Source organism: Homo sapiens, chromosome X (genome assembly GCF_000001405.40).
Source record: "Homo sapiens chromosome X, GRCh38.p14 Primary Assembly".
Taxonomy (NCBI): Eukaryota; Metazoa; Chordata; class Mammalia; order Primates; family Hominidae; genus Homo; species Homo sapiens.
In genome coordinates, this window is record NC_000023.11 from 45,623,394 (window position 1) to 45,634,118 (window position 10,725).

Genomic DNA, 10,725 nt, shown 5'->3' on the forward strand with positions numbered 1-10,725 from the left:
TAGCAATGTGGCTCATGTGACTTATCCAAATAAGAGCACAATTAGCAAAATGTGTTCCCATAAATGGCAGTTTAAACACTAAACTCTGGAGAGAATCCAGATGAAATCTAACACAGAACAGCATGGGGAAAATGGTAAGTTCTGGTGAACTAAAATGCATTGGTCATGCCTTTGGCTGGAGAGGGTCAAAGTCAGAATGACTTGAGAGTTTTTAAAAAGTCACTACTAAAATTCCCAAGCCAAATAGCAGTCATTGCCTATAGCACTTTGTGAATGGGAAAAAATATGTAAGCTCTAAATGTTAGACTCAGGAGAATATTGTATTTGTCAGACTAACAAAGCACTCTAACTTCAGCATTCTAAATTTAGAACCAATGTTGAACTGTTGGAGTTCTGTGTCCATAAAACTTTGAACTATTGGAGTTCTGTGTCCACAAGGGCTGAAAAAGGAAACTTCTTGGTTTTCACTCCCAGAGCCTGTAAGAATAAAAACTCGGCCGGGAGCGGTGGCTCACGCCTGTAATCCCAGCACTTTGGGAGGCCGAGGCGGGCGGATCATGAGGTCAGGAGATCGAGACCATCCTGGCTAACACGGTGAAACCCCGTTTGTACTAAAAAAAATACAAAAAAACTTAGCCAGGCATGGTGGCGGGCGCCTATAGTCCCAGCTACTCGGGAGGCTGAGGCAGAAGAATGGTGTGAACCTGGGAGGCGGAGCTTGCAGTGAGCCGAGATGGCCCCACTGCACTCCAGCCTGGGTGACACAGCAAGACTCCGTCTCAAAAAAAAAAAAAAAAAAGAATAAAAACTCCTTGATCTCAGGATCAATAGGAACAATGAAGGAATTCATTGTTTTTCTTTATATCTCAAACTCAAGTCGGTTGTCAACCAGAGCTTGGCAATGATGCAGAACTGCAGACTTATGTTTCTCAGATATGGATATGAGGAGACACAGAGGGTTTTGGAAAGTAGAGCTATGGCACTGCCAACTTATAAAAGATACGTAGAGAAGAAGACAACAAAGAGCCTACAAATGCCCCCTTCCCTGCTCTGTAGCCCTCTTCTGGCTTGTATTCTGATGTGAAAAGCATTTCTACCTGGTTTCCCTTAGGAAGTAAAATTTGGCCTGAGCTCTGAAGTATGTGGAAGAAAGAAACAACCTATCAGACAAAGCAAACAGGCTGTGCAAAGGCTCTGTGGCAGAGATATTATGGCACATTCAAGGCACAGAAATAAGGTTAGTGTGGCTAGACTACAAGAAGTGAGGGGAAAGTGGCTGGAAGGGTAACTAAAGTGTCAGATCATCAAGGCCTTGAAAACCATGTCACTTTCATTTGTATAGCCTTATATGCAGAACAATGAGTAGCCAGTGAAGGTTATCTGGGGAGAAACTACATGCCCAGATTCTCATTTAGTGATTGGTCTTTATGAATTGTGGTGAATAAATTAAAGGTGGAGAGACTAGATTCAAGGAGACCTTTCTTTTTTTCTTTTTATTTTTCTTTTTAATTTCAGAGCTACAACTGCAGGTTTGTTACATAGGTAAACTTGTGTCATGGGGGTTTGTTGTACTGATTATTTCATCACCCAGGTATTAAGTCTAGTACCCATTAGTTGTTTTTCCTGATCCTCTCCCTCCTCCCACTCTCCACCCTCTGAAAAGCCCCAGTGTGCGTTGTTCCCTTCTTTGTGTCCATGTGTTCTCATCATTTAGCTCTCACTTATAAGTGAGAACATGCAGTATTTGGTTTTCTGTCCTGCATTAGTTTGCTAAGGATAATGGCCTCCAGCTCCATCCAAGTGCCTGCAAAGAACATGATCTCATTCTCTTTTATGGCTATGTAGTATTCCATGGTGTATATCTACCACATTTTCTTTATCCAGTCTATCATTAACGGGCATTTAGATTGATCCCGTGTCTTTGCTATTGTGAATAGTGCTGCAATGAACGTACACATGCGTGTGTCTTTATAATAGAACGATTTATATTCTTTTGGATATATATCCAGTAATGGGATTGCTGGCTGGAATGGTATTTCTGTCTTTAGGTCTTAGAGGAATCGCCACCATCTTCCACAATGGCTGAACTAATTTACACTTCCACCAACAGCCTATAAGTGTTCCTTTTTCTCCACAACCTCACCAGCATCCGTTATTTTTTGACTTTAAAAATAGCCTTTCTGACTGGTGTGAGATGGTATCTCATTGTGGTTTTGATTTGCATTTCTCTGATGATCAGTGATGTTGGGTTTTTTTTAATTATACTTTAAGTTATAGGCTACAAGTGCACAACGTGCAGGTTTGATACATAGGTATACATGTGCCATGTTGGTTTGCTGCACCCATCAACTCATCACTTACATTAGGTATTTCTCCTAATGCTATCCCTCCCCCAGCCCCCCTCCCCACAACAGGCCCCGATATATGATGTTCCCCGCCCTGTGTCCAAGTGTTCTCATTGTTCAGTTCCCACCTATGAGTGAGAACATGCAGTGTTTGATTTTCTGTCTTTGTGATAGTTTACTGAGAATGATGGTTTCCAGCTTCATCCATGTCCCTGCAAAGGACATGAACTCATCCTTTTTTATGGCTGCATAGTATTCCATGGCATATATGTGCCACATTTTCTTAATCCAGTCTATCTATCATTGATGGATATTTGAGTTGGTTCCAAGTCTTTCCTATTGTGAATAGTGCCACAATAAACATACATGTGCATGTGTCTTTATAGTAGCATGATTTATAATCCTTTGGGTACATAGATGTTGGTTTTTTTTTCATATGATTGTTGGCCACATGTATGTCTTCTTTTGAGAAGTGTCTATTCATGTCCTTTCATCACTCTTTAATGGGGTTGTTTGTTTTTTTCTTGTAAATTTGTTTAAGTTCCTTATAGATGCTGGATATTAGATCTTTGTTGGATACATAGCTTGCAAAAATTTTCTCCCATTCTCCCAGGTTGTCTTTTTACTCTGCTTACAGTTTCTTTCACTGTGCAGAAGTTCTTTAGTTTAATTACATCCCATTTGTCAATGTCTGCTTTTGTTGTGATTGCTTTTGGCGTCTTTGTCATGAAATCTTTGCCTGTGCTTATGTCCTGAATGGTATTGCCTAGGTTGTCTTCCAGGGTTGTTGTTGTTTTTTCTTTTATAGTTTTGGGTTTTACATTTAAGTCTTTAATCCATCTTGAACTAACTTTTCTATACAGTTTAAGGAAGTGGTCCAGTTTCAGTCTTCTGCATATGGCTAGCCAGTTATCCCAGCACCATTTATTGAATAGGAAATCCTTTCCCCATTGCTTGTTTTTGTCAGACCAGATAGTTGTAGGTGTGCAGTCTTATTTCTGGGTTATCTTCTCTGTTCCATTGGTCTATGTGTCTGTTCTTGTACCAGTACCATGCTTTTTTGGTTGCTGTTGCCCTGCAGAATAGTTTGAAGTTGGGTAGCATGATGCCTCCAGCTTTGCTTTTTGCTTAGGATTGTCTTGGCTATTGGGGCTCTTTTTTGGTTTCATATGAATTTTAAAATAGTTTTTTCTAGTTCTGTGAAAAATGTCATGGTAGTTTAATGGAAATAACATTGAATCTATAAATTGCCTTGGAGAGTATGGTCATTTTAATGATATTGATTCTTCCTATCCATGAACATTGAATGTTTTTCCATTTGTTTGTATCATCTCGATTTCTTTGAACAGTGGTTTGTAGTTCTTCAAGGAGACTTTTCAAGAGACTACTCTATTAGTCCAGGCAAGAAATGATTATAGCTTGGTCTAGTGTGGGAGCCGAGGAGACAGATGGAAGTGGATGAGTATAGGAGGGAAAATTCACAGGGATTGTTGATGGATTGACCGTGGAGAATAACACAGATGGAGGTGCCAGAGATTATTCCTCGGTTTCTATCATGTCCAATTTGGTGGAACTACTAACTAAAAAATAAAAAACACTAAAAGAGCGTCAGATATGGAGAGAAAGATCACACTTGGACCTGTGGAATTTGAGGTGTTTTTGAAACTTGGAAGATGTTTGTTAAGTAGAATGTTGGATATGCTGGTCTGAATCTCAGAGGAGAGATTTGGGGTGGAGTTATACCACTTTTAATATTCAGTCAAGGAAGTGGGTGAGTTTGCCTCATAGGAAAAGTTATACAGAGAGAAGAGAAAAGGGCCTCAGACAGAGTAAGCTTTGAGAAACTCTATCAATGGGCCTATAGAGGAGAATCCACCGCCTACAGAGATAAGAGGAAAACCAGAGGTGAACAATTTCAGGAAAAGAGAGTATCAATAATTAGTTAGCTAAAATATAATAATGTCAGGATTAAAAGAAGTGCCTGAATGAGGAAAATGTACAAGGTGGAAACTTTTTAAAAGCTTGACCTTTAATAGAGATAAAGTGGTACTATTAATCAAGGGAGTAGTCGGTTGCAATAATTCCAAGGTGTAAAAGTTACAGGTGTTACTGAACTGAATTGAACTGGGGCCTGCTCGTCCAGCACAGTAAGGCCGAACATCCACACTGAGGTTTGCAGCAGGAAAAGGAGGGTGTTTATTTGCAGGACATCAAGCAAGAATTGGGCAGCTCATGCTTAAGAACCAACCTCCTCAGTGGCTTGCAAGCAAGGGTTTTTAAAGGCAGGGGAAATTTTCAGGAAATCAGAAGTTAAAGGCAAATTTGTAAATTGGTACATGGAAACTATACATTGGTTTGGCCTTAAAGGGGGGATATCTTAAGCAGGGGTTTACAGGTCATAGGCAGATTCAAAGATTTTCTGATTTGCAATTGGTTAAGGAAGAGAAGCTTTGTTTAAAAATTTGGGATCACCAGAAAGGAATGTTAGCTCTGACTTGTGGGTGTAACTTCCTCACCCACGAGGACTCAGACCCTCAGGAAGGACTTCAGAACATAGAATGGTGGTCAGGGTTCAGTCCTTAGTTCCCCCTTATCTGAGGTCTGCCTGCCAACAGATCTGTTTGATGGGGGTCTGTGGGGGTCTGGGTTTCTGAAAAACAACTTAGGGACTTATATTAAGATATTACCTTTAGTTTCTATAGGAAAACAAACATCTCATGACTCTAACTTCCTTGGCTATTGTTTTAAGCTACTATTACCTTTTTGCTTATCAAGTTCCTCATTTAATCTCAGGGCTAGCTAGGCAGAATTTCCAGAATTTCCCTTGAAGAAACTCAAGATTTTCCTTTATTTCCATGCTTGGGGGGTGGGGGTGGGAGTGTATGGCAGGCCCCTAAGAGGCGTCCCTGCTTTGTCTCATAGGTTCGTCAGAATGGGGTGTCCTCAGATGTGATTTGTGGTTGTGGGTTCTGATACGGATTTATCTAGGATTTGGTGGCAAGAGATGTGGAGATTAGGACTAGGATTGAGTCACTGTTTCAGGGGATAGCCTGGGGATGACCTAGGGAATTGTTAAGGAACAAGAGGTTACTATTTCTTTACACGGTGAGGATTGTCCTTTTTTTTTTTTTTTTTTTTCAGTCCAACCAGTGATTCCCAACTGACTTGACAGATGCTAACTTGCTATATTGCTTCTGCCACAATAATTTTTCCACAATGATTCTTAACCTATTACAAATGTATGGAAACAAATTAACCTGAGTACACTTGATTTGGTTACATTCTAAACATATAACTTTAGGAATGAGTCCACTTAATCATGTAGGAAACTAAATGAAGATACCAGCATTGAGGCTGAAAAAGCTGATGAATGTAGAAGTTTTGAGGGCAAATGATTGTATGTAGGGTAGGAGGGAGATGATGTAGAAGAGGTCAAGTCTGCAGTCCTGGGTGAGTGGGAGGAAGAGAGAAGTCAGATGGCAGGATCTATTTCAGGAGAGGTGCAGACAGTTTTGAGCATGTTTTGCTTGAGACCCTGGCATGAAGTCTATGTGGATTTTTCCAAGAGTCTGTTATAAACATTTGGCTGTTATTTTGTTGGAAACATTTTACTGTTATATGGGATGTCACACAACAATGAAAGTGCTGAGCTTCTCAGGGACTCTGGGGTGCAAATAAGCTCACTTTTCACTAGGGCCTTCTCCACCCCAACCCCTACAGGTATTTAGGTTGTAACTTCCTCAAGCAGTTCTTTCCACATCATGTAGCTCTGGTCCATGCCATGTGTGCCAATGGTAACCAAACCTTTCATCCTGACCATCACTAACTGGATTGGCGTCCCAGCCAAAAGCAACCAATCTCTGTGGAGAAAAGAGAAGCCAACGTCCTCTGAGAAGGTACGAAATAACAACACCTGAAGCTGGGAAAGGCTTCAAGAACTTAGGTTTTTAAGGATTAGTGATTTTACTTTCTCAGTTATTTGTTAATATGTTGAATTACATTGGTTTTTAAATGTTAAACTCTTGTTTTCTTGGAATAAGTCTTATTTGGTCACGGCGCATTAACTTTTATACATATATCTGGATTTTATTTGCTAATATTTTGTTTAGAATGTTGGCATTTATGTTCATGGAGATGGACTGACATTAATTTTCATTTCTTGTAAAGTCTTTTGCAGGTTTTTTGTATCATGGTTATATTCATATCATAAAATGAATTGGGAACCTCTGGTTTCAGCTCCAACATGTAAAGAGCTTAGAAGTTGTCACTTCCACCCTTATAATAAGAAAAGCCTGAACAAACTGAAAATCAATGATTTTTCTTGTACCCATCAGAGAGCTGAAGTTGCAAGGTAGACCACCACTCTGAAATTGGGAGAGACAGGCAAATCCAGAGAAGTACAGCTAATATTTGCATATCTGGAGCAGAAGCCACTTGGAGCCATAAACTGTTAGGAACACTTAAATGGTAATTTTGATGGTAATTTTGATAAATTGCTAGAGGCTGAGTGTGAACTAGCATGAGACTGAGAAATTTCCAGGGCCACCGTCTTAGTAGAGCCCTCATATTTTCATGGATTCTATTTCCAAAAACCTCATTAGTTTCTCCCCTACTGGCTCTGGTGGGGTAGAGCAGGGGGAGAAAATAAATCTTTATGAAATAAAACCAATGTATGCTCCATAGCAAAGGCATCTCCAGGGACAAACAGGCTTTTCCAGAGCCTTATCCCACCTGGGCAAAGGGCATTGATCCCCCTCTACTTTCCTCTAGCCTTCCTGTCTCACCTAACAGGGAGGAAAAAGTGAAGACACAGGCACACCAAACAAGACCTGTGGCCACAGGAACACAGGCCCACCAAAAGGCTGAGATTTCATCATAGGATTATAGAATACTTTCATTCTGCATACTAATATGCTCCCGTATAATGAAAGTAGATTACATGGACAAGAATTGAATATAGAGAAGCACAAAACAAATTTGTTGAAGTGATGGAAATGTCTCATGTCTTAATTAGGGTGACAATATTCTGGGTGTATAAATCCATCAAAACACATAGAACTGTCATCTTAAATCTGTGCATTTTATTTTACCTAAATTATACCAAAATAAAAAACATATAATGGGAAAAAATACATTATAGCAGAAAGAGCTATAAGATACAGACTCTCTCTGAGCAGGAGTACTTAGGGAAACCCAAAGTCAACAAAGGAGACAGAAACAAGGACGTTAAAGGAATTTGAAGCCTTTGGCACCTACAGCCACCATAAACATTAAAGACATCCTAGCTCCCAGCCAGATTAATATAAAAGCTTACACTAAAGGGCTATTTAGATTATGTCTGACTTTCAACAACAGAATGAATTGGGAAGCAGTTTTTCTTTTTCTGTTCTTTGAGTTTGGTTACAATTGGTATTATTAATTCTTTACATATTTGGCACAATCCACCAGTGAAGCCACTTGAGTCTAGAGTTTTCTTTATGGGAAGTCTTTCACTAGTGGATTCAATTGTTTTAACAAATATAAGACTACTCAAATTTTCTTACATTTTTAGTGTCAGTTTGGGTACATTGTGTATTTTAAGGAATTTACTATTCACTGAAGTGTCAAATATATTAGTATTAAGTTTTCTTTTAGCATTAGTAAGATCTATAGTTAATGTTTACTTCTTTATTTTCAATATTAGTAATGTGTTTCCTCTCAAACAGTTTTACTGGCATGTTATTAATTTTGTTAAACTTTTCAGATATCACTTTTGGCTATTTTGATGTTTTCTATTCTATTTTTTATTTCACGACATTTTCCTGGTGTCTTTATTTTTACTTCCTTCTATTTCCCTTGGATTTTATTTGATGGTCTTTTTCTAGCTTTTTGAGATAAAAGCTTAGATCATGAATTTTTGGCTTTTATTCTTTTCTAATATATGTAAATAAAACTATAACTTTTCCTCTAAACTCTATAGCTGCATCTCACAAATTTTCATTTGTCATGTTTTCATTATAAGTCAATTTTTTAAAACTTTCTAAGTTCTTTTGTTATTTTTTGGATCATGATTCATAAATAAGTATATTGTTTTATTTCCAAACTTAAGATTTTTATGGTTAACTTTTATTATTGATTTCTATCTTAACTAGGGTCAGAGAACACATTCTGAATTATTTCAATTCTTTAATATTTGTTGGGACTTTAAAACCCAGAATATGGTCAATTTTGGTATAGTCCAAGTTCACTGATAAAAATGTGTATTCTATTGTTGGCCACAGTTTTGTATACATGTCAATTAACTCAATTGTATTAATTTTGTTATTCTTGACTGCTATATCTTTTTTTTTTTTTTGGCAGAGCTAGCTGAGGTTTTATTTTGGACAAAAAAAAAAAAAAGCAAATAGAGGTCCTCAGGCGGTAAACTCCCCCTCGAATGGGCTGACGGCTAGCACTGAGCCTCAGGTGAGCCTCCCTCCCGTTCCCTGTGCTCCCCTGCACAGCAGCCTCCCTCCCAGGCTCTGGGGCAGCCGCAGGAGGGGCAGGCTGGGAGGGGCTGCCGCAGCTGTTCCCTTGGGCAGGATGTCAGAGGACTGGAACACCAGCTTCCCATCACGGGTCTCGATCTTCTTCACAACCATGGCCCTGGTGAAGCTGGTGCGGCTGAAGGAGCTGGAGCCCACACCAGAGCCAAAGCTAGAACCCAGGCCGTAGCTGAGGCTGGGGTTTGTGAGGCCCTCATAGGCGGAGCTCAGACCACCTGCATAGCCCCTGGTGGTCTTCCTATGGGTGCTCATGTTCTGCATCCCAGATTCCAGCCGGCTCTCCTCGCCCTCCAGCAGCTTCCTGTAGGTGGCGATCTCTACGTCCAGGGCCAGCTTGACATTCATCAGCTCCTGGTATTCACGCAGAGGCCGCGCCATGTCCTGCTTGGCCCGCTGCAGAACGGCCTCCAGCTCGGACAACTTGGCCTTGGCATCCTCAACGGCCAGCTCCCCACGCTGCTTGGCATCTGCGATGGCGGCCTCCAGGGAAGCCCGCCCTCAATCTCAGCCTGGAGCCAGCTGATGTTCCGGCTGATGTTCATCTCAGAGAACTCAGTCTTTGTATGCCCCAGGTCATCCCCGGGCTTCCCAGCCAGAGTTTGCAGTTCCTCATACTTGATCTGGTACATTCTCTCAGCCTCAGCCCAGCTGCGGTTGGCAATCTCCTTGTACTGCTCCTTGATTTCAGTGGTGATGCTGTCCATGTCCAGGGAGCGGCTGTTGTCCATGGACAGCACCACAGATGTGTTCGAGATCTGAGACTGCAGCTCCCGGATCCCCTCTTCATACAGCTGCCTGAGGAAGTTGATCTGGTCAGTGAGCCCTTCCAGGCGAGACTCAAGCTCTACCTTGTTCATGTAAGCTTCATCCACATCTTTGATGAGGAAAAATTCATTCTCCATCTCTGTACACTTATTGATCTCATCCTCATACTTGTTCTTGAAGTCCTCCACCAGCCCCTGCATGCCTGCATGTTGCCAAGCTCCGCCTCAGGCTTCAGCTTCTCCTGGCCCAGAGTCTCCAGCTGCCGCCTAAGGTTGTTGATGTAGCTCTCGAACATGTTGTCCATGTTGCTCTGAGCCATCTTCTGCTGCTGCAGGAGGCTCCACTTGGTCTCCAGCATCTTGGTCTGCTGCTCCAGGAACTGTACCTTGTCGATGAAGGAAGCAAACTTGTTGAGGGTCTTGATCTGCTTCTTCTCCTGGGTGTGCACAGCCTGGATGTTGGGGTCCACCTCCAGGTGAAGGGGACTCAGCAGGCTCTGCTTGACCATGATGGTGGTGATGCCTCCCATGCCACTGACCCCACCATAGCCTTCACCCATGCCATCCCGGAAGCTGCTGCTGCCCACTCGGGAGAAGCTTGAGGAGCTGATGTGGGCACTGGGCCCATGTGTGTAGGAGCAGCTGCTGAAGGCCCGGGGGCCAGAGGTGGGCACCTTGTAGGACTTCTGGATCACCCTGGTGGACATGGTGGAGGCAGGGGTGGAGGCAGGCAGGCTGAACCAGGCGGAGATTCCAGAAGGAGCAGAGAAGCTGCTTCTTGGTGGGCAACTGCAATATCTTTACTGTTATATTTTTCATTTGCTTGTACTATCAGGCACTGAAAAGTTTGTTAATGTTAATTATAGATTTTTCTATTTCTGTGCATTTCTGCTTTATATACTTTTCAGGTATATTATTGGGTGTATACAATAATGGTTTTTATTAGTTTCTCCTATTTATTGGTATGAAATATCTCTATCTCAAACAATTCTTCATGCCTTGAATTACATGTTGGATAATATTTTGGCTACCTTATTTTCTTTTGGTATATACTTTTTAATCCTTTTTGCTATAAATCTTTCTGTGTCCTTA

General features: G+C 41.2%; 1 pseudogene; it reads right to left on the reverse strand.

The window, feature by feature from the left end:
• Window positions 8,678–10,417, reverse strand: KRT8P14 (keratin 8 pseudogene 14; annotated as a pseudogene).